Raw genomic sequence first — 25,568 nt, 5'->3', positions numbered from 1 at the left:
AGATTTAGCTTTTTCCTATCTGAAAACTGAACAATGTGCACTAGATATAAATGTATTATCTAAAGTTTAGGAATTTACAGCATAGAAATGCAGGGGAATTCGGAGTATGCAATACGAAGTATCAACCTTTTTGAAAATGAAATTTAAAATGTATTTTTGTCAGGCATTCCTTCTAATTACGGTAGTATTGCTTTGTATCAGAAGACTTTCAGGCAAAGGACAGGAGGGAAGAGAGAGAAATTCAAACTAATTTGCATTAGAAAGAAACTTAGGGTGAAGAATTGCCTAGGTAAGGTTGCTATAGCTCATATCTTAAGTGCACTCTTGGAAAGCTTTCTAGTCTATTAGGTAACACCTGAAGCCCCAATTCTCTTATGTAGCATTTCTTTTTTTCTCTCTTTAACTACTCTGAAACTATACAGAGTTACACGTTCCTCATTAATTTATGAGTGAAACCAAAAGAATTGACTCAATCCAACAAGTATTTGAGTGCTTTTCGCATAGAGGCGCTTTGCTAAGAACAGAAGAATGGAAGACTGAGGAAGTTTCTAACAATCAATGGATTGCCTTGTGAGGTGTAGATGCAGGTGTGCACTGCCTATTTAATTGACGATCAAAGTCAGTTGAGTTTTCATCTCATTCTAAATATCATGTGTTGCCCCCTGGTATCTTAATTTTTCTACCGTTGCAGGTAGTCTGCATTTTAGTAACCCAAGTGAAACAGTTTTCTAGGGAAATCATGATAAATAGGAAGCACGTCCGTATTCCCAGGTGTTCTCATTATCATTAAGTTAATAAAGTTAAGAAAAATAAGATGATGATTTTCCTTTCTTTTGGTTTCAAACTAGTGAAATCTTGCACAAAAGACACAGCATGGATAAATTTAATCATTTTGTGACTCAGAGTACATTTTATGTAAGTCCATTCTGTTGGAGGATAGATCCAATTTCATGAACTCTTTTAATCCTTCTTTTGAAGACTAGTTCCAGGACCAACTTCATAAAATGTTTTATTGTAGGTACCAACAACTATCAACATCATTATCTTCTCCCCACCTTCACCCTTGAAAACAATTGTATTCTAGAGGATTATGAAGGAGGGGACAGGACTCTTTCAAAATCTGGAGGACACTAGGGACTTACCCCAGAAAAAAAATAAAAAAGCTCACCCATTCAAAATCTTGTACACCTTTCAGAGGATTCCTGGTGCCCAGGTTATGAAAGCTCACTTCAGAACGGGTCAGCGAATTAGTCAGAGGATAGGTAGATGGAGGGAAAGGGAAATGAAGCAATGTGGGTAAATTCACAAACTGAGTGGATATGACTTAATTTACTTTCAAATAGAATAAATACATGGCCCCTTGAGTAAGTATTCTGTGAATGGGAAGGAATAATTGTATTCTTTGTAAAAGACTGAAGACAGATTAGCCTAATTAAGTTTTTAATTGATCAAGATCAACTCTTATCTTGAACATTATGAGTCTCTCATTTTTCTACTTTTCTTGCTCTTTTCAAGGCAACTGCTCTAAGAGGATTTGCTCCCACTACTGATGATGCCCCATTCTGGACACAATTTCTCATATGCAAACTTGTATTCATGAATTGCTACATATGGGAATGGCTGAGTTCAAAAATTGAACTATATCTTTCTCACATCCTAGCAGTTCACCCTTAGGAAGAAGATATAATTATATATAATTAGTCTATCGCATGTAAGCCACTGTGATAGCAGTAGCTGTGCCTTGGAAGGGAGTGGGTTGGTATTAGGAATGAAAGGAGAGCGTTAAGAAATATTTTGGACATAGCTTCTTTCAAAAAACAAACCAACAACTGCTGAATTAACTTCCTTTTCTTCTTCTATACATAGGGCCAAGGAGCGAGCTCTCCCTTCTCCTGCTCTCAGCCTCAGTGATCAAGGCTTCAGTGAACTGCACTGGAGCTCCCAGCGGGGGATCTTGTCCCCTGTCCCGACTTTTGTGCTGCACATTGGATCTGGGTAAGTAGACGGCCCCCTGGAACTAGTAAATAGGAGAGTGGGTCAGAGGTAGTAATGGATTTTATCCAGATCAAAGGATTCCTCAAAATTTCCAGAGGTCTAAATCACACACCACTATTTGGAAGAAAAGTATAAGACAGAATGCCAGAACCATCACACCTTACACTTACCTTTTAACTTGGATCAGGATCAGCCTAAGATATCCTTAGCTATCAACCAGCTTTGACTTACAGTATTCTTGAGTGGCAACTAGGTGGTGGGCCAACAACCCTAGAATGTACTTAATAGATGCTTACTGGATTTGTAAATTAATGGAGATCATGGTTTTAAGCCAAGCTCTGCCACTAACCAGGCATATGATCTTGGGCAAGTCACAGGTTAGTTAAATTCTTTGGACCTTAATTTTTCTACGTATAAAATGAGGGTGTTTTATGGGACCAATGGTTCTCAGCAACCAATGTATAATTCCATTGCATTTGCATTGCCTGGGAGTTTATTTAGAAAAAACCCAACAGAGATTCTGATTAATTATTAATCAGATTTATTCTGAGGATAAAGTCCTTAGTGTTCCCTAGATTTTGAAAAAGACCTGTCCCCTCCCTCATGGCCCTCCAGAATACAATCGTTTTCAATAGTGAAAGTGTGGGCCAGGCTCAGTGGCTCACACCTGTAATCCCAGCACTTTGGGAGACCGAGGAGGGTGTACCATTTGAGGCCAGGAGTTCGAGACCAGCTTGGCCAACATAGCAAAACCCTGTCTCTACTAAAAATATAAAAATTAGCCAGGCGTGGTGGCACATGCCTGTAATCCCAACTACTCGGGAGGCTGAAACAGAAGAATCAAACCCAGGAGGTGGAGGTTGCAGTGAGCCGAGATTGCGCCACTATACTCCAGCCTGGGCAACAAGAGCGAGACTCAGTCTCAAAGAAAATTAAAAAAAAAAGAGTGATGAAGGTGGGGAGGAGACAATGGACTGGCATAGGCCCAGGCATCTTTATTTTTTAAAAGTAACCCCAGCAAATACTAATGTCCAGTCAGGATTGAGAATCACTGGGTTAAGTGATTGCTAAGAACTGATTCTAAGATTGTGTCATCTTAGGATGGAAAGCAGGCCCACAGAGTCCCTGTTAAACATAGCCTGGCCCAGCATTGCGCCTCCTCTGTGGTAACCAAACCTAAACATGCCTTTCTCAGAAGCAGTCCAGATGAAGCCATTTCAGGTTATTCGGGGGGAGCTGCTGTGCCTGCTCACCTTTTTGATATTCCCACAATGCTTTGCTGACTTTGCAGCACCCAGTAGTTTTTGATGGACTGAATTAGGTGTAATTCTGCCTATCCAGGATGATCAGCTGTTCCTAAAGGTCCCCAGAGACGATAACATCTCTGCTCTGAGTATCCATGCCAGTGTTTAATAGCCTCTTGAAATTTTCTCCTTGAAGTGATCTGTGACTTGTTGAGGTGGGGAAGAAGGTGTCAGCAGGGGATAAGCATGATCAACTTGATCGTAGCTGAAATGTGAACTTTAGTGGCCAAACTGAGATAAAAAATGATCCTCACACCTTCTCAAGTAGTTGAAGACTATTGAGTTACCAGAACTGGGAGAGGAGAAAAAGAGCACATTGTTTACCTTAATTATTTCTTGGGACCTAATCATGTTGCCATTACATTGTAAATTCTGTAGATTTTCACACTTGGAAAATTCTTCTTAAATTTAGAGTTAGGACTTACTAAATTGTAATCCATGAAAGGTATTTGTTTACCCTACTCTTCTTTTAATCTCCTACTACCTTTCATTTCCCAAAATACCTAGAAGACAAAAAACAGTGTATATATGTGACTGTCAAATCGGTAAGAGAGACAGACATGAGTTGAGCAAAAATGGAAAGGCATTAAGGAAGAAAAACTGACAAGGGTAAGAGGCACGTCGGTTACCAGGAGCTGCACTTAATTTCTCTCTTTTCTTTCTCGATTAGTCTTATCTCTGCTATAAGCCTATTCTCAAGCTTGCTAAAATGCAGGCAGATCACCATATCCCACCTGCTCCATGTTGACAAATGTGGGCTTATGGCCCTTGATTCCCTCATGTTCCCTGCAGCCTTCCATACACAGTGCATGCAGTGCTGTCTCCAGGGGTGAACTGGCAGCCTGGACACACTTGGTCTAATCCAGCATTGGCCAATCCCAGGGCCTGACTTAATTCTAAATCACAGCTTAGGTTGAAGCATATTTTTTCCTAGAGTGGAAAGCTACTGGCAGTAAAGTTCTTTACCTCTGTATCTCAGAGGAGTAGGCTTTACCTGATGTCAAAAATCCAATGCAGACCTACAAAACTAGCTCAGCCCCCACCTCTCCAGCCACCTAGAGCTGGTTGTACTCATTGCCAGTAAACAAACAAAACAAAATTCTAGGATTGGAGTCATTTTATATGTTTATTGCTGATCGTTGTTCCCAAAGATTTAGTAGTATTGGGCACTTGCTGTTTTGTTATTTCATAATTTATTCCTGACCTACTTCTTAAAATGAATTAAAGTAGGAAGAAGTGTACCAGGAAAAGATAGATTTGTCATAATTTCAACTCTAATGGAAACTTAATTATTACTAAACTCAATGGCCCATTTATGTGTTTATAAATAAAAATGTATCCTTCCATACATCTAGTTTCTTAAGATAATAAGAATAGTGTTGTGCTAGTCCTTAGGATTATTATTAGTTTGCTTTTTAAATCTTTACTTCCAAAAAGCATTACAATTTTGCAAAATAATTAGAAATGGTAAAAATTTCTTAGCCAGTGCCTGTTTATTGAACACTTTTAACAACAATCTCAAAGGTAACAAGGGTTTTCATTGCTTCCTTTCTTGCTTTATTATTTCCTTCCTTTCTTCCTAGAGTCACTCATTATCCAACAAATATCTAATGAGTTCCCCCTATGCCCCTGACTTCATGTAGCTTACATTCTTATGAAGAGGGGAAGAGAGACAGAAAATAAAGAAGTAAACCATCATGTAGGTTAGATAGTGTTAAGTGCTATGGATAAAAATATATCTAGAAAGAAGATGGTAGAGGTGTTGGCTGTGAAATTTTTGAAAGAAGGTGGTCAGAAAAAGCTTCCCCTGAGAAAGTGATATTGAGCATAGACCGGAAGGTGGTGAAGGAGGAAGTTACGAGTCTATCTGGGAGTAGAGCATCCTGGCCAGTGCAAAGGCCCTGAGGCAGACAAGTGCTTGGCATGTTCATAAAACAGCAAGGAGGCCAACTGCGGTGGCTCACGTCTATCATCCAAGCACTTTTGGGAGGCCAAAGCGGGCAGATCGCTTGAGGCCAGGAGTCCGAGACCAGCCTGACCAACATGGTGAAATCCCATTTCTACTAAAAACACAAAAATTAGGTGGGCATGGTTGCGCATGCCTGTAATCCCAGCTGCTCGGTAGGCTGAGGTGCCAGAATCACTTGAACCTGGGAAGCAGATGTTGCAGCGAGCTGTGATCGCACCACTGCACTCCAGCCTGGGCAACAGAGTGAGACTCTGTCTCAAAACAAACAAACAAACAAACAACAACAACAGACAGCAAGGAAGTCCATGTGACTGGAGCAGAGTGACAAGGTGGGAAGGTAAAGAAAATGACCACAGCAAGGAAAGGAGCAGTGGACAAGAGTTTGAGAGGGTGCTAAAGATCACACAGGGCCCCTTTTCAGTGGGATACTTGTAAGGTGATGTGAAGATGGAGTTTCTTACTGTTTAGTTGAAACAGCAGCAGCCTGTGTTCTCTTTCTTCCTTGTTATACCTCCTGGATAGTCCCCCCAGTTTTCCTTTCCTCTCCAAATTAGCCTCTTCCCATTCCTCCCCTTGTGCTTCCTTTCCCCCAAGGCTGGCTGCAGAGAGGGCTTCGGTTTCCCTTTCTCCTTGTTGCCCTGAAGATAAGTCTGCCCCTCCTGTTCTAAGAAATGTGCTGCTAGTTGCTAAAGAATAAAAACTGTCAGGTAGCACCCAAACCAATAGTCATGAAATAAATCATAATAAACTTATGCAAAATGTATTCTTAGTTTATACTGCAGACCAGACACAAAGTGGTTGTGTTGCTGTTGAGCATAGTTGAACCTATGTGTTTTGTTGGGTCTGCACATTGTTTCATGAAAATGTGGATTGGTTTCCAACATTTAAAAATTGAGAAATTTTTTATTAAAATGTATTTTCAAGTTTTCCTTCCAAATTCATGTTCCTGATGAAGTTCTAGAATAGGCAAAACTGATCTATGGTGATAGAAATCAGAACTATAGTTGCCGACACATCAGAGATTGACTGGGTAGGGACAGAAGGGAAATTTCTAGATAATGAAAGATTCTATTTCTAGTAGTCTGAAATGCACAGTAAACTCATTAAACCATATACTGATCTGTATAGTTCACTATGTGTACATGAAATCTCAATATAGCTGGGCACGGTGGCTCACACTTGTAATCCCAGCACTTTGGGAGGCTGAGGTGGGTGGATCGCTTGAAGTCAGGAGTTCAAGACCAGCCAGGCCAACATGGTGAAACCCTGTCTCTACTAAAATTATGAAAATTAGCTGGGTGTGGTGGCACATGCCTGTAATCCCAGCTACTTGGGAGGCTGAGGGAGGAGAATTGCTTGAACCTGGGAGGCAGAGGTTGCAGTGAGTCGAGAGCGAGACTCCATCTCAAAAAAAAAAAAAGAAAAGAAATCTCAATATAAAGAAATTTTTTTAAAATTATGACGAATATTTTAACTGATAAATTATAATTTTATATATTTATGGGTACAATGTGATGTTTTGATATATGTATACAATGGAGAATTATTAAATCAAGCTAACATATCCACTAACCTGCTTACTTACCTGGTTTTTATAATTTGAAATTTACTCTTAGTTTTTTTTAAAATATACAGTTGACCCTTTGTATCCACAGGTTCTGCAGATAGAGAGGGCCAACTAGGGACTTGAACATCTGTGGATTTTGATATCCTTGTGGCGTCCTGGCACCACTCTCCTATGGATATAGAGGGCTGAAGTCACAGTTATGATTTCCATCACCATAGATTAGTTTTGCCTATTCTAGAACTTCATATAGAACATGAGTTTGGAAGGAGAACTTGAAACTACATTTTAATAAAAACTTTCTCAATTTTTAAATGTTGGAAACCAATGCAAATTTTCATGAAGCAATGTGCAGACCCAACAAAACACACAGTCCTCCTGCTGTGCAATCGCTCTCAAAACCTATTCTTGTCTATCTTAAACTTTGTACCCTTCAGTCAACAATTCCCCATTCCTTCCCTCCCACCCATGACCTAGCCTCTGGTCAACACCATTCTACTCTCTATTTCTGTGAGTTTTTTAGATTCCACATGTAAGTGAGATGATGTGGTATTTGTCTTTCTGTACCTGGCTTTTTTCACATAGCATCATATCCTCCAGATTCATCCATATTATCACAAATAACATGATTTCTTTCTTTTTTAAGGCTGAATCATATTTCACTGTGTCTATGTACCACATTTTCTTTATTCATTCATCCATCAATGAACACTTAAATTGGTTCCATGTCTTAGCTATTGTGAATAATGCTGTAATAAACATGGGAATGCAGATATCCCTTTGACGTATTGATTTCAACTCCTTTGGATATATACCCAGAAGTGGGATTGTTGGATCATATGGTAGTTCTATTTTCAGTTTTCTGAGGAACTGTCATAGCATTTTCCATAATGGTTGTACTAATATACACTCCCACCAACAATGTGTAAGAGTTCTGTTTTCTCTGCATGCTCACCAACACTTGTTATCATTCATCTTTTTGATGAAGGCCATTCTAACAGGTGACATTATGTATCATTGTGTTTTTAAAGTGCATTTCCCTAAATATTGGTAATGCTGGACATTTTTTCATGTACCTCTTGGCCACTTCTGCGTCTTTTGAGAAATATCTATTCTGGTCCTTTGCCCATTTTTTAATTGTGTTATTTGTTTTCTTGCTATCAGGTTGTTTGAGTTCCTTATATATTTTAGATATTAAGCACTTGTCAGATGTGTGGTTTGCAAATACTTACTCCCATTCTGTGGGTTGTCTCCTCATTTTGTTGTTTCCTTTGCTGTGCAGAGCCTTAGTTTGATGCCATTCCATTTGTCTGTTTTTGCTTTTGTTGTCTGTGACTTTGGAGCCATATCCAGAAAATCATTGCCTAGACCAGCATCATGGAGCTTTCCCCCATTTTCTTTTAGTAGATTTACAGTTTTAGGTCTCAACTTTTAAGTCTTTAATCCATTTTGAGTTGGTTTTTGCATATAGTATGAGAAAAGGATCCAATTTCACTCTTCTGCATGTGGATAGCCAGTTTTCCCAGCACCATTTATTGAAGAGACTGTCTAAAGAAAAGTTTTAAATGGAAGCCCTACCCAACATTCAGCAATACCTGGATAGCAGCTGACCACTTTGGGCTTGGCACATGCTTTCTAGATTGGCTTAGACACCTTGTCCACTTCTGTCATTTTCATTAACTACCTGGCTCCTTGTATTGGTATTGGTGGTATTGGTTTATGACTCCTTCAGTAGATGCTTAGCAGTTTGGGTTTCAACTATCAGTGGGGAGCAAATCTGAAGGGGCCTGATACGTTTAATTGGTAGTTTAGAAAATAGTACCTGCCTCTTAGGGTTGTATGTGAAGCATGTAACAAAATCATAAGCCTGATTTTGTTAAATCAGTCCAGAAACTCGCCTATTCCCCTTTCACTTAATGCTGGTCTCAAATCTCAGGATTCTCAGGGGTCTCTGGACCTAACTTGCGCTTTCGTCTCAAATGCCAAGGGTCTCCTGAATTTTCAGACTTCTTTCCTGAGACGATAACAGAAAATATCTTAACTATTACTCCTATTATCAACACTTAACACTTAGGCTTATAATGTGTGTTGCTAAAATAATAGTGCCTACTATGGAAATTTTAGAAAATACAGATAAGCAAAAAAAATAAAATTACTCATAATTCTACCATCAAACATAACCTCTGTTTACCATGTTATGGTAAATACTTTCAAAACTTTCTCCATACACCTATATATTTTATATTAAAATGTGTTTTATAAATTTTAGCGTACAAATGCCCAGTTTACAAAATGGTCAATAATAACAAGTCAAATGTTAAAGATGACAGGCCAAGCATAAGTACTTGCTTACTCTCTATCCTAAAACTCCATTAAAATGACCGTAAAAGATACAAAGGGGGAAGAACTCTGAAGATAATGGGATATGAAAATGCTTGGAAGCAAATTACTGATTAAACAGAACCAAGAATTTGTACAAAAAGGACCACCCTCGGAGTGCAAGTGATCCCCTAGAAAGAACCCCCTGTATGGAGTTAGCAGCAATGGGGAGCATGCATGAGCAACGAGATTAATGGAAAGTCTTCATGGACTAGTTATAGTGAAGTAGGGCTTCTCTAGAGTATTGGCACCATAGAGTAAATCTTTTCTCTTTCTGGCATTTAGAAAGAGGGTGGGCCCTGGCTAAAAGGCTAGCTCTTGCCTCTTCACCCAAAGTATAACTAGCTATCAACAAAGCCCACTCCGGTACACAAAGGCTGTTAATGTTCATTTCGTTCAGGGAAGAGTCCTATCCTGGAGACACTTATATACATGACAGTGGAAGAAAGTGGCACAAATCAACCAGAAAAACAAACGAAATCCTTAATTTATAAAGAAATTATATAACCAAGAATAACCTGACATATGAAGAAGCATGAAAAAGAAACATCAAGATAAACAATTACTATTGCCAGAGGAGAGATCATTCAGGGAAAAGAAAATCGCCTTTTTTAAAAATCTGAGCACTCTTAGCATGATTAGAGTTGTTGTTTCCACACAACAAAAGCGTGATGTTATTCAGAAAGAGCAATCAGAAAATAAAAAAGATGTTGAACATTTTTTTAAATAACTAAAATAAAAATAATTTACTAGAAGGCTAATAATGGAAATTCTTCCTGGTCCAAGTCCAGTGGTGTTTACAACTAATTGATCACAACCAGTTACTGATTTCTTTGTTCCTTCATTTCCACTGCTTCACTTGACTAGCCTAAATAATAATATTAATAACAATAATGATTTTTAAATCTCCTGTAATGGGCCAGGTGCAGTGGCTCACGCCTGTAATCCCATCACTTTGGGAGGCTGAGGTGGGCAGATCACGAGGTCAGGAGTTCGAGACCAGCCTGGCCAAAACGGTGAAACCCCGTCTTTACTAAAAATACAAAAATTGGCTGGGCGTGGTGGCGCACTCCTGTACTCCCAGCTACTCAGAAGGCTGAGGCAGGAGAATCACTTGAACCCAGGAGGCAGAGGTTTCAGTGAGCTGAGGTCGCGCCACTGCACTCCAGCCTGGGCAATAGAGTGAGACTTTGTCTCAATAAATAAATAAATAAATAAATAAAAATAATCTCTTGGAATGCACAACCAAATTTTGAAGAAAGAAAGAATATGCTAGAAAAGAGGAGAGACAGAAGCAATCCAGTAAGAAAATCTTTGTTTTCTGAGATAGAAAACAAAGAAAATAAAAGGTAAGAAATTGACAATTAAATGCTAGGAAAAAAAGTTCCTGTAGTTGAGGAAAAGTGTGAGGTTAAAAGGCCCATCAAGTGAATGAAAAAACATGCAGAGATACAATTGTTACAAAATTTCCAAGTCAAGAATACACAGAGATTCCTAAAACTTTCTGAAAGGAAAAATAAAGTCGTTTAAGATTAACATAAGGCTTCTCATGAGGAAACTGGATTTTAATAGAGCAATGGCTTTAAATTTGTAAGGAAAAATGATTTTGAACTTAGAATCATATTGTCAGTAACTTATCAAGCGTGAGGGTGAAATGAAGACATTTTCAGACATTCAAAGACTCAGGCCGTTTACTTCTGAGTACCTTTTCTAAAGCAGTTGCCTAAGGATGCACTCCAGCAAAATGAGGGTATAAAGCAAGGAGGAGGAAGCTGTGGAATTAGAAAGAGTGGAGCTAATCCACAATTGCAATGAAATAAACTGTAGGTTGACAGATGTTCACCAGGCTTAGAAAAAATTAATACAGGCCAGGCGCAGTGGCTCACGCCTGTAATCCCAGCACTTTGGGAGGCTGAGATGGGCAGATCACGAGGTCAGGAGATCAAGACCATCCTGGCTAACACGGTGAAACCCTGTCTCTACTAAAAATACAAAAATTAGCCGGGTGTGGTGGCGGGCACCTGTAGTCCCAGCTACTCAGGAGACTGAGGCAGGAGAATGGCATGAACCCGGGAGATGGAGCTTGCAGTGAGCCCAGATCGCATCACTGCACACCAGCCTGGGCGACAGAGTGAGACTCTGTCTCAAAAAAAAAAAAAAAAAGAAAGAAAAAAAAATTAATACAAATTAGGGCAGATAGTGAGCTCAAGAAGAATGACTTTAAGAAGAATTAAATGCATTTCCTTTTATAGGTAGAAGTAGCAGTGAACAATATTCACATAGTTATAGAAATAATGGAAATTCTTCCTGGTCCAAGTGCAGTGGTATTTACAACTGATTTATACAACCAGTTACTGATTTCTTTGTTCCTTCTACATTCCCACTGCTTCACTTGACTAGCCTAAAAAAATGATGATGCTGATGATGATGGCACTTCTAGCAACACAGAGGGCGAAGCTGACTCATTCAGATCTCCCTCCAGGACAAACACACAAAAATGAAGGATAAAACATAACAAATGTTCAAATAACCTTGAAATAAAGACTGTCAGAAGAATGCAGAGAAAAATGTTTAAAAAAGAACAATAATAATAAGAAATCCTACATGCAGCCCAAGCCATAGGAATTTTTCTGTGGAATATAGACCCTAGAGTGTTGAATGATGAAGTTGTATCATTCAAACCTGGAAAGAAAATTTGGCTTCAGGCCCACAGGAGACCAGGACCATGGAATTGAAACACTGGATAAGCCTGGAGCTCTAAAGACCTGTCTAGTCCATTAATAGAGTATTAGGCAAACTCTAACCACTACTTAGGGAAACAAGGAAGTCTTGTAGGCCTTGAGTGAAAGTTAAAAAAAGAAAGTCACCCTTGAACAAACAAAACCCTGGGCCTGTGCCTCATTCAGAAATTAGGTTCAAAATTATACTTCCTCTGTGGTTCAGAAGCCTCAAACCATATTAAACAAACACCAACAGTAGTGAAAATGTCCAGGACCCACTAAAACCACCATAACCCTAGCAGAGTAGACATGAAAGTGTCTAAAAACACATCACGACTTAAGTGTACATGGAACATCCACAGAACCACTCCTCCCCTTCCACAATTAAATATGACTCAGAATTTTAAAAACCTACAAATCACTGCAAGGGAGTGTCAGCAAACAGAACAAGCAGAAGAATCAGATCCCCAAGAATTTAAAACAATGGAAATAGATGAACAAGATCAGAAGTGTGTTAAAAATTATTGAAAGAATAAAGAGAATTGAAAACAAAAGGGAAAATGCAACACTATGAAATTAGAACAAGTTGATTTCAAAAAGTATAGAAATGAAAAATATAGGCTTTAAATATTTTTAAAAAATTAATGTCCTACTTAATGTATTAGAGCCAAAAGTAGATTATTAAACTGGAAGTTAAATCTGAGAAGACTATCTGTAATCAACCCAATGAGATAAAAAGCTGTAAAATGTAAGAGGTTAAAGCACACAATGACAGGAGAAGCTCCAACAAATGTCAAATAGAAATTCCAGAAGGAAAGAGAAAAGGGAGAATAAATCAGTATATATTGGTTTTATAGGTAAAGAAATTAAAAATAGTAATATAATTTAGCAAAAATAGAAGTGAGTAAGGAGACTTAAATGTTAATATTTCGGCTGAGTGTAGTGGCTCATGCCTGTAATCCCAGCACTTTGGAAGGCCAAAGTGGGTGGATCACTTGAGCTCAGGAGTTTGAGACCAGCCTAGGCAACATGGTGATACCCCGTTTCTACAAAAAATACAAAAATTAGGTGAGTGTGGTGGCATGCACCTGTAGTGTTAGCTACTCAAGAGGTTGAGACACAACAATCTATTGAACCCAGGAAGTGGAAGTTGCAGTGAACCGAGCTCATGCCACTGCACTCCAGCCTGGGTGACAGAGCCAGACCCTGTCTCAAAAAAGTTAATTTTTCATGGTAAGCATTCGTGAATAATGTCTAAACTTGATAAGTAAAAAAAAAAAGCCATATAATTTTATTACTTAGAGCAGTAGTTCTCGATTCCAGGAAAGATTGGGAAGTGTATCCTGTGGATGGAGAATGCTACTAGCATTTAATGTCAAGAAGAGAGATGCTAAATGCACAGAACTATCTCATACAAATCCCACCTGAAATACCAGTTTCTCTTTCTGAGAATTGCTGATTTAGAGTTAATAATAAACTCACCAGAAGAATTAATATTAAAAATGATTTTAAGAAAATGGTGGCTGGCTACAGTGGCTCACACCTGTAATCCCAGCACTTTGGGAAGCCAAGGTGGGAGGATCACTTGAGCCCATGAGTTCAAGATCGGCCTGGGCACCATAATGAGACCCTTTCTCTATGAAGAAAAATTTAAAAATTAGCCAGCTGTGGTGGCACATGCCTGTGATCCCAGTTACTCAAGAGGCTGAGGCAAGAGAACAGCTCGAGTGCAGGAGGTTGAGGCTGCAGTGAGCCATGATCACACCACTGCACTCCAGCCTGGGTGACAGAGTGACACCTGTCTCAGAAAGGAAAAAAAAAAAGAAAGAAAGAAAATGGCTGCTTCAGGAAATAGAACTAAAGTTGGGGAGAATGGGATGGAAAAGTATTGCTTTTCATTATTAGTTATTTCATAATACTTGCAATTTTATCATGTGTATATTATGTTGGAAAAAGAAATGACTAGTCAACCAGTAGCTTCTTCTTTCATTTTTGCTTAGAGAACTCTTTTCTATTGAAGTATCTGTCATTCAAACCTAAGCACCACTTTGAATTACTGAGCTTTTTACCTCAAAGAAAATTCTAAAGGCATATCTTATGAGCGTTAAAGATCTTTCAAGTGTTTCTGGCTGGAAAATAAATCTTGCTATTTATTAATTTAGGGAGTCACAGCAAATTAGTGCTGGAAGGGATTCAACTTATTTAGTGGTATGGAATAATTTATCCGTGGTAGAGTGATTTTGAGCAGTAGCTCTGTATAGGACAAAGGAGGACTGGGGTATGGTCAAATAACAAGAGCCCATGGCTGCAAATTGGAACCTGCATCCTGCCTTTCATGGACTTAAAAGATCTGATCCTACTTGACCTCTCCAGTTTTATTTCCTGTAACCACCCAAAGCACGATTTCTACCAGTACCTTTGGTATTCCATGAACATGTCTTATTAGCGTTTACCTTTTCACATCTCTATGCAAAATCACGTGCCTGCCTTTTTGCCTTCTATCCATTATTTGAGAGCCACTTCAAATCCAGTATCCTCTCCAAAGCCATCCTCTCTGGAACAGCAGGCAGAAGCCAGGACCTTGGTCACCCTACTTAGATCAAGTAACTCACCAGATGTCCCACCATGGTGGCAGAACCAGGACTTGAATTGAGGTCTATGTCATTCCATAGCCTGTACTCCCAGCTGCCATTTACAGATAAGGAAATTAGGGTACAGAAAGCTTGTATATCTTGCAAAAAAACATGAAGCTCTAAAGTGCCAGTTCTGGCTGGGCGCGTTGGCTCACGCCTGTAATCCCAGCACTTTGGGAGGCCGAGGCGGGCGGCTCACCTGAGGTCAGGAGTTTGAGACCAGCCTGGCCAGCATAGTAAAACTCCATCTCTACTAAAAATAAAAAAATTAGCCAGGTATGGTGGCATGTGCCTGTAGTTCCAGCTACTTGGGAGGCTGAGGCAGGAGAATCGCTTGAACCCAGGAGGCAGAGGTTGCAGTGAGCCGAGATCACACCATCGCACTTTAGGGTGGGTTACAAGAGTGAAACTCTATTTCAAAAAAAAAAAAAAAAAAAGTGCCATTTCCAGCCTTCAAACACAGTCCTGAACCCTAGGCTCTGCATGTGGTATTGCCTCTACGGATATTAACGTGTAAGAGTCCTTTGGCAGAGGAATTTAAGGGGAGTGGATAAGTATTGTTTTTGCCTCTGAAAGTAATGGCAAAAACCACAATCACTTTTGCACCAACCTAATATAAAAGAAGAGGGAAAGGATGGGCACAGCACAAGACTACATGCTATGGCAACCTTGGCCCCTGCCACTCACTCAAGATCATTCAGCCAACAAATGTCTGCTAGCCAGCTGCATGCCAGGCTGTGCACTTGATGCTCAGAAATAACAGTCCTGCCCTCATCGAGCTTGCAGTCTACATTCAAAACCAGCTTGCATAGGTCTTAGGGCCTTTTGCTCTTTCTACATATTGAGCCACTATAATTAATCAATGATAGTTAATAAGGGAAAACAGATAGATAATATATTCTGGTTATTGCTAACAGTCCAAAAAGTAGTAAGAATAGAAAACAGCTTTTCAAATTCCTTTTAGGAAAGGCTGATAAAGCCATAAGTGAAAATATGTTTTTTCTGGGTTCTAATTCATGAGACTTTTGCTATTTGCTGTGTACATTATAGAAAAGTTCACATCCTGTTGCTCAGGGCAATGTTGAAAAAATTCATAGTAAAATTTATTTTTGTTGTTTATATTGAGGCCCATAGAGAAGTCATGTGAAAGACGTAGTAAGCTTGGGCATGTGCTTGCATATTTGAGATTAAAAGGTTAATATATGCATTATTAAAGTTATAAATGTGTAAATTATTTTGAGTAGATGGATGAATGCCCTTACTCACTCTTTTCTGATACCTCCGGTTCACAGAGAAAAATACAATTTCAAAACTTAAAGAAAAGCATTACTTTACTGATGATGGCTCTTAGTTTCAGACAACTGAATCCATTCTAGCTAGTTTAAGCACCAAGAGATTTAATTGGCATTTTGAAACTTGCCAGATACTGTTCCCAGAATGTTGTCACTGGAAACATTTAAAGATAAGGAAACATAGAAGCAGAGAATAGTAATTTCCAGGGACTGGGAGGAGAGAAAAATGGGGAGAAATTAATCAAAGGAAACCAAGTGAAAATTATGCAAGATGGAGAAATCCTAGAGATCTACAGTACAGCATAGTACCTGCAGTTAACCACCCACTGCTGTACACTTAAAAATGCACTAACAGGCCAGGCACAGGGGTTTACACCTGTAATCCCAGTACTTTGGGAGACCAAGGCAGATGGATCACTTGAGGTCAAGAGTTCAAGACCAGCCTTGCCAACATGGTGAAACCCCATCTCTAGTAAAAATATTATACAAAAATTAGCCAGGCGTAGTGGCACACACCTGTAGTCCCAGCTACTGAGGAGACTGAGGCAGGAGAATCGCTTGAACCTGGGAGGTGGAGGTTGCAGTGAGCCAAGATGGTGCCACTGCACTACAGCCTGGGCAACAAGAGCAGGTGTCTGTTTCAAAAAAAAAAAAAAAAAAAAAGTACTGGCAGGGTAGACCTTGTGTTCTTATCACAAAATAATAATAAATTAAGAGAAAAAGCAAACTTTTGGAGGTGATGGATATATTTATGGCATAGATTCCTCCAAACTTATCAACTTGTATACACTAAGTATATACAGCTTTTTGTATGTCAGTCATATCTCAATAAAGTGGTTTAAAAGTTAATAAAGATGAGGAAACTAAGACTCAGGCAAATTATTTTTATATGTTCATTCAGCAAGCATTTTTTAGCCCTAAGTACCAATCACTGTACAGAAATTAGTATTGCGTTTCTCCTTTCATGAGGCTCACAATCTATTTTCCCAATAGGTTGTGCATCAGTCTCACTCCATGAGCTTTAAAAAAATACAGATTCTAGAATTATTAAATTAGAATCTCTAGACGGGGCCAGGCATAGTGGCTTATGCCTGTAATCCCAGCACTTTGGGAGGCTAAGGTGGGCAGATCACCTGAGGTCAAGAGTTGGAGACCAGCCTGGCCAATATGGTGAAACCCCATCTCTACTAAAAATACAGAAATTACCTGGCCATGGTGGTGGGTGCCTGTAATCCCAGCTACTTGGGAAGCTGAGGCAGGAGAATCGCTTGAACCCAGGAGGCATAGGTTGCAGTGAGCCAAGATCGCACCACTGCACTCCAGCCTGGGCGACAGAGTGAGACTCCATCTCAAAAGAAAAAAAAAAAAAAGAATCTCTAGAAGGCCTGGAAATTGTGGTTTTAATCTCCCCAGGTGATTGTGACATGCCAGCAAGGCATAGAAAACCCTGGTGTAGTTGACCCTGCCATAACAACGTAGAACAACTGAGACACTTAAGGTACAGAACCAGGGCTCTACACTGATCATGACCTCCAATTCAGAGCATCTACCACAAAACCACAGTGAATCTTCATTATTGGCATGCAGCTGACTTTGGCTCTTAGTCTGAAGTTTAAAATGTTGTTACCATTTTGTTATTTTTTTATTTATAAATATTTATCATGGCAATATTTTATAAGTATCAGAGATGCCGTTTAAAGACTACTTTGAATAGGAGACAGGGTTTGTGTTTTGCAAATATTTTTGGATAAGCCTCTTACCCCCAAGTGAGTGTAGATGGATCCATTTTCTCATCTACAAAGTGAGGGAGTTACGATAAATTTAGATTTTAAAATCTATGATGAGGCCAGGCACAGTGGTTCACACCCATAATTCCAGCACTTTGGGAGGCCAAGGTGGGCAAATCACCTGAGGGTCAAGAGTTTGAGAACAGCCTGGCCAACAAGGGGAAACCTCAATCTCTACCAAAAAAATACAAAAAGTAGTTGGGCGTGGTGGCGCACACCTGTAATCCCAGCTACTCGGGAGGCTGAGGCAGGAAAATCGCTTGAACCCAGGAGGCAGAGGTTGCAGTGAGCCAAGATCACGCCACTGCACTCCAGCCTAGGCAACAGAGTGAGAATGTGTCTCAAAAAAAAAAAAAAAATCTATGATGAAAAATGTTCTAAGTTACCTTCAAATTCCTCCCTTCCTGCCTGTGGCGAAATGGACCTTGAAGCTCTAGGTCAATTTGCTTTGCTGTCATTAGTATTTTGTGTTTGAGGACCTGCCAGAAGATGTGTCCCTTTAGGTGATCTTAGTAAGTGACTTTTCTCATGTAAGGATTTGTGTACTTTTACAATTTGGTGATTTATAATTTCAATCAGCACACTGGAAGCTCATTATCTGTCATATAAGAGTCTGGTTATTTGATCTCCTAGTGTTGGTTCCTTGGTTACTTTGCCTCTCTGCCTCTGATAAGATGGTTATTGATAGCCTTCGAGGCTTTAATTATTTAATCATTGTTGATGCAAATAAAAAGTCCCCCGAAAGGACAGCCTTTCATTACAACATCTTCTCCTTTCCTTTCCCAGTTGAAATGTCCTTGAACTACCAACCAGCTATCTCAAAAAGGACATAGATTATAGCCAGGGTGCCAGTATCTCAAAAATATTTGAGAATCGTCTCCTCTCTGTGTCTCTTCCTAACCTACAGAGAGTTAAGGTTGCCAGATTTAGCAAAGAAAAATACAAGATACCCAGTTAAAGTTGAGACAAAGAATACTTTTTAATATAATTATATCCCATGCAATATTTGAGACATACTAAAAGATTATTTCTTGATTAATATGCAAATTTAACTGAGCCTTCTATATTTTCTCTGGCAACCCTACAGATAGTGCATATCTTAATGCTTTAGAAAATCCATCTTATGTTTTGAGATCTAAATTTGTTTGAGATTTGCTCCTAATTGAAACCCACAATGAAATGGTTGTGACAGTTAAGACTGCATTTGCCTGAAGTATAGTGGATGTTGCACTGCCCACCTCCGCACAACTCTCTTTTGTTGTGAGAATATAAGCATAGAAACAAGACTTTGCTTGAGAAACCTAAGCTAAATAGTACTCTTTTGTAATTTGTATTAAATATTTTGCAGACACACATAAGTAAAGATAGTGCTATAATGCATTGCACAGAATTTATTTACACCCTATTTAGTTTTTTTCTTTTTGTTTGGGTGCTGGGTACATGGATGGGTGGGTGAGGGTGTTTGTTTTGCCATCTCCTATGTCAGTGGTTTTGAGCCTTTGCTATACAATAGAATCACCTGAGAGCTTCTTAAGCTCTCAATCCCTGTCTGCTTTGCAGACCAATTAAATCAGAATCACTGGAAATAGACTCGGGCATCAGTATTTAAAGCTGCCCAGGTGACTCCAATGTGCAGCCATGGCTGAGAACCAATGCCCTAAATGAAAATGGCAAATTTGAAAAAGCTCTTTTAACTACTAAATTATGACCTTATATTTTAATCCTCTTCAAAACTGATTTCATGTACTTTTCAGTAAGCATCTTATGGCAATTACATTTATTATTTTGTATTATATATTCTATATATGATGTATAATATAAAGTTTACTTTAAAAAATGATCTTATGAGGCTTTAATCTTGTCACTGATTCAGTATTAATTTCTTCAACATCTATAATTGGTTTTCATTTTCAAATATTTCTTTGTGATTTTTCTTATGTATTTTTCATATGTATTTCTCTCTCTCTCAGATTCTAAGCCAGTGCTTCTCAACTTGAACTGCTCGTTAAAATCATCTTAGGATGCTATAAAGAAATGCCCAAGCCTGCCTCCTGGAGGCTGTGCTCTAGTTGGTCAGGTGTGGATCCTAAGCATTAGTGTTTTATAAAAGTACCTAAGGAAGTTCTAGGTTTAGCCAGAGTTGAAAGCCAGTGTTTTCAATATGTCAAGTACCTATCTAGCTGATCAACTGCATGTCCTGGGGAACTTTTAATACATAAATATAATTGCTCTGCTTAATGAAATAGAAGGAATTTTGAGGTTCTGGGAGAAGGAGAAATAAGGGAGTGGTAAGTGACCACCCTCTTGTGTTTATACTCTCAGATTCACGGGTGTCACGAGGAATTCCTGATGTTGGGGATAGCCGAAGGACTCTTAAGACTAAAGATAAAGATACCTAGTGTTTTAAGTGTTTTCTCTGCTATGCTACAGTGTAAACCATTCTGTTGCCCTGAAATCTCCAGAGAAGGTTGCCACATACATGGGTAAGAGACACACGCTTACATCCACAAGTAGTGAATACCCATTGTTTAGGCCTCACCCAGTGGAAATCCTAACTGGGTAGGTTCAGGTTAAGGCCCTGAACCCAGTAATTCAAGCCCTCCCCAGACCATTGTGGTGATTGGCCACATTTTGTCACCACTGCCTTGTAGGTGATAAAACATCCCTAGACTTGATCATCATAATTCACCTGATTGACAGCTGAGCAAACTCCTGTGGGGTAACAGGAAAATCAATGGTAAAACTGAGTTTCTGCAACAGGAGAAAAACTAGAGTCTGATTCTTATTAGACCTTCCTCAGGTCTACCTGTTCCTTTTCTCTTCAAGGGGCCATATGTAGGAAGAAATTACCTTTCTGAACTAGGACAAAAGACTAAGAAGATGATGTCTACAAAAAATAATAAAAGTTCAAAGCAGACATAATCTATAAGATGAAAGAGAGGAAGCATGGCATGCATTATCAATAATCATAACATACCCATTCAAAGATTTCATTCACCTCCCAGTTACTGAGCACCTGCTAAGATACAAGTACTGAGCTAGGTCCTGGGAATTCAGAGTATGATATTGTCTCAAAGAATTTACAGTCTAGAAGAGGAGATCAATGATTCTATTAGAATAGAAGAATGGAAGCGTATACCAAGTAACATGCATAGGCCCATTTCATAAAGGATTATAAGTGAGGGGAGACCTCACAGAAAAGCAGAAGACAGAACAAGGGTTTGGAAGATACAATGATTAGGCTGTGGGGAAAATGGAAGGAGTGAAGGGAAAGCAACAACATCTCTTATTAGAATGAATTGAAACTCTGGATGGGCACAGAGGCTTAAAGCAGCATGGTATGTTGCCTGGATTACAAATGGTTTTATAATGCTGTCATGTAATGATCTGGAGGAGTTAGGGTAGGTGGAAGCCAGTGGTAGGGTTTGTGATGTGTCAAACTCCACTCATACATCAGCCCAGTCATTCTTGTATTTTGATGAGTTCCTAGAGTGGCCCTAAAGAGCTAGATGAGAGGTGGCCAACCCACCTTACTAGTCTGAAACAAAAAACATATCATCTTTATTTCTCAGGTTCTGCTGCAAAATTCTTCCTCCAGATTTACCATTTCTTAGTTCATATGAGCTGCTATAACAAAATACCACAGACAGAAATTTATAAACAATAGAAATTTATTTCTCACAGTTCTGGAGGCTGGGAGGTCCAAGAACAATGCACCAGCTGGTAAGGGCCAGGTGTCTCTGCTTCCAAGATGGTGTCTTATTGCATCATCCTCTAGAGAGGAGGAACACTGTATCCTCACATGGCGGAAGGGACAGAAGGGATGAAAGGGGGTGAACTCCCTGTGCTAAGTCTTTTTATAACTTAATCCCATTCGTGAGTGCTCCAGAGCCCACATGATCAATCACTTCCTAAGGACCACACCTCGTAATACTCTTGTATTGGGGGTTAAGTTTCAACTTGAATTTTGAAAGAGACAAAAACAGTCAAACCATAACATTTTAATATCATCCTTGGTGGTACTTGGTTGCATTTGCTGCCAGAATTTCTTTTTATTATAGGCTCTTGAATTTTCAACCTCTTTGGACATAGGTATTTATTTTGCACAATATTTTGTGGTAGATCATACACAACCCTGATTTCAATTTGTTTTGTTGCCTTTGAGACGGAGTTTCACTCTTGTCGCCCAGGCTGGAGTACAATGGCGCGATCTCAGCTCACTGCAACCTCTGCCTCCCGGGTTCAAGTGATTTTCCTGTCTCAGCCTCCCAAGTATCTGGGATTACACGTGTGCATCACCACTCCCAGCTAATTTTTTTTTTTTTTTTTTTTTTTAGTAGAGGCAGGTTTTCTCCATGTTGGCCAGGTTGGTTTCGAACTCCTGACCTCAGGTGATCCACCCACCTTAGCCTCCCAAAGTGCTGGGATTACAGGTGTGAGCCTCCATGCCTGGCCTTGATTTCAATTTGAATGTGATTTCATTTTGATGAAAACCTGAGTTTTCACTGTGAAGGAGTTGTATTGACCAACATTAGTAGCCCTCACAATTCCACAGTCACCACACAAGCACTTAACCATGCATTCATGTTAACCTCTGCCTGCTCTGCCATTAACTTCCTTCATTTGGGAATACTGGCTTTAGTTGTTGTGCATTTAATATTTTATTATGAGGTATATAGTTCAAATGTACAGACAAGTACAATCATGTAACAAGCACCAGTTTACTTACTAAGCAGCATAATCAGATCTTCACATTTTGCTGTCTTTGTGCCAGTTCTTTTTTTTACAAACTAAAACATTGCAGATACAGTTAGTAGAAGCCCTCTACTATCCCTTCTTAGTCTCATTTCCCTCTCTCTAGAGGTAACACCATCCTGATCTCAGTATTTATTGTTGTCATGAGTGGTTTTATACTTTTACTACAAATATATGTAATAACATATACTATTGTTTTATGTTTTTAAACTTTAAATAATTGAATCCTCTCAGTATTCAACTGTGCCTTACATTTTTGTTGAAAATTGCCTCTGAGATGTATTGATGATGACACAGAAATTTAGTGCATTTCTTTTAATTACTACATAGAATTAAATTTATGAATATACCAAAATGTATTTTTTACTGCATACAAGTACTTTTCACTGTTATAAGGCTGCAGAAAACATTCTTGTACACAACTCCATATGCACAAATATGTTGTATTTTTATTCTTTAATCATTGTTTTACTCATATAAGTGGTATCACTGTGTAGCAATGAAAAAAACTATCAGTCATTCTAATAATCAAAAACATGACAATGTAATCAACTTCAAAACAATATTAGAATAGTGTGCTGATGTTCTTAACTTACTGCCTTTCACAAAGGTCACCAGCAACTTGCCTCAAACAGACATGTAAGCCTAAACTCTGAACCATAGAATAATTTAAAGAGTAATCAACCATAAATATAGAATTGGAAATGAGGCTAATATAGCTTTAAGAAACATTGAGTCAATTTAAGGACTGATCGTACTCTTTTTTTCTGTTTCCTTGACATATAGCTGGTCAAAATTGACCTAATTTGCAATTCCTCTTATGTGGACCTAGAGGGAACTGACTAGTATTTAGCCATTGCACTTAATATGAGCTTTTGTTAAAAGTACACACATTAACCATTTATTACTCTGGGAGGGAATAAGTCACGTTTTTTTAATTGATTTTGATTTCATTAATTACTGCCTCCTATATACAGATCAATACATTAGGTCCTCTGGGGCGTCCAAAGAAAGCCTCAGAAGAACTTGGAACACCACAAAGAAGAGATGCTTAGGAAAAGTCATCAGTAGGATTTTGGCAAGTAAAATGGAGTTTTTCTTTTTTCCCCTAGTGACACTCAGGAAATGCTTGTCTCCGGCTGTTAAGGAATAATTTCAGAGTACTATGGATCATGCTGAAGAAAATGAAATCCTTGCAGCAACCCAGAGGTACTATGTGGAAAGGCCTATCTTTAGTCATCCGGTCCTCCAGGAAAGACTACACACAAAGGACAAGGTTCCTGATTCCATTGCGGATAAGCTGAAACAGGCATTCACGTACGTTGCCTTTTAACCTGTTTCTGTTATTGTATCATTCAGTTATGAGAGGCGCAAGGTCAAATGTGTAAAGAAAATCTGTTTGGTGAAGTGGAGAGAAAAATGAATGCTGAGCCATCATGGTTTGCAAAGCTGTTCACGAGGTTCAGTCAGCGTTAGATATTTGCACACAGGCTTCATCATGAATTTCACCATATTTATTGAATTCCTACTATGCCTTTTTTCTGTGTAAATGTTAACATAACCAACATGCTTTCTAATTCTCCACCCACCTTGAAAATATCTTTTGTCTCCCAGGAATATTCCACCCACTCTCTTTTTTTCCCTATCCCTGACTCCTACCCTGTTTGGCAACATCTTGAATCACCAATTGGAAATTTTTCCAGATTGCTCCTGGGAATAAGGAAGGGAAAATGCTTTGGTTTGAATTCTACAGAGATGTTTCTCATTTATAACTTTATCTCTGTCTGTCTTTGTCCTTTCAGATGTACTCCTAAAAAAATAAGAAATATCATTTATATGTTCCTACCCATAACTAAATGGCTGCCAGCATACAAATTCAAGGAATATGTGTTGGGTGACTTGGTCTCAGGCATAAGCACAGGGGTGCTTCAGCTTCCTCAAGGTCAGTAGATCTTTCTTTCTTTCCCCCCTTGCTGTCCTCAAACAATTGCTTGACCTTCTGTTTATTTCATCATGATTGCAAATTCATAATTTTTATCATATCTTTCTAGTAACCTTTACCTATCTAAAGGTATTCTTCAGAAACATGTAATCCTTAAACCTGTAATCTCAGCACTTTGGAAGGCCAAGGTGGGAGGATCACTTGAGACTGGGAGTTGGAGACCAGCCTGGGCAACAAAGTGAGACACTGTCTCTACCAAAACAAAAACAAACAAAAACAAAAAACATAGCTGGGCATGCCTGTAGTCTCAGCTACTCAAGAGGCTGACATAGGAGGATCATTTGAGCCCCAAAGTTCAAGGCTGTAATGAGCTATGATCATACTACTTCACTCCGGCCTGGGAGACAGAGTGAGTCCCTGTCTCAAAAAAAAAAAAAAAAAAAAAAAAGCTCCAGGGATATTAATAGTAGAAAATGGTGTTACTACTTTGCAGATCAGTACACTGCTTGGGCATTATCTTACCACTTGCTAAGTCAGTCACTCAAGAAACATTTTGTTGTTATGGTTGTTGTTAAGGTTTGTGGCTTCTGAGTCCATATTCTAATTACAAGGGACCATGATATGCTAAATTCCTGTAGTATATTGCAGCAACTCTGTGGTTTTATATGTGATATAAGAACTTAATATTCATTAACTTATTCATTAATTTATTCATGTATTCTAAACAGTACATGTCTATTAGGCACCTATCTGGCTCACTGTCCTCATGGAGCTCACTAACCATCCAATCAAGGCATGAGATTGCTAAGCAGAAAAAAGCACATATAAAAATTTTAATTATAATGATAAGCAAAATGGAGGAAAATATAAGGTATTGTGAAATAAAAATAGTGGATCTAGGGCCGGCTGTGGTGGCTTACGCCTGTAATCCCAGCACTTTGGAAGGCTGAGGTGGGTGGATCACCTGAGGTCAGGAGTTCGAGATCAGCCTGGCCAACATGGTGAAACCCCATATCTACAAAAAATATAAAAATTAGCCAGGCATGGTGGCATGTGCCTGTAGTCTCAGATACTCAGGAGGCTGAAGCAGGATAATCACTTGAACCTGGGAGGTGGAGGTTGCGGTGAGCTGAGATCGTGCCACTGGACTCCAGCCTGGGCAACAGAGCAAGACTCTATTGGAAAAAAAAAAAAATAGTGGATCCAGGAAATGAGGTTTGAGCTGAGA

General features: G+C 39.1%; 1 protein-coding gene across 14 annotated transcripts in view; it reads left to right on the top strand.

Annotated features, from left to right (window-relative positions):
• The window catches only part of SLC26A5 (solute carrier family 26 member 5), a 93,478-nt gene that overhangs the window by 1,130 nt on the left and 66,780 nt on the right, over nucleotides 1-25,568 (top strand). For all 14 annotated transcript variants that reach the window (NR_135802.2, NR_135801.2, XR_007060034.1 and 11 more), the window contains 3 exons: nucleotides 1,867-1,995; nucleotides 23,511-23,715; nucleotides 24,201-24,340. Coding sequence is in view for 8 of the 14 variants with exons in the window: in NM_206885.3 (NP_996768.1) it covers nucleotides 23,564-23,715; nucleotides 24,201-24,340 (292 nt within the window). In the remaining 6 variants the exon portion in view is untranslated. Of the gene's footprint in view, nucleotides 1-1,866; nucleotides 1,996-23,510; nucleotides 23,716-24,200; nucleotides 24,341-25,568 lie in introns of those variants that run through there.

This window comes from Homo sapiens, chromosome 7 (assembly GCF_000001405.40).
Source record: "Homo sapiens chromosome 7, GRCh38.p14 Primary Assembly".
In the NCBI taxonomy this organism is placed as follows: Eukaryota; Metazoa; Chordata; class Mammalia; order Primates; family Hominidae; genus Homo; species Homo sapiens.
Note: the sequence above shows the minus strand (reverse complement) of the source record. Positions and strands in the feature narration are given on the sequence as shown.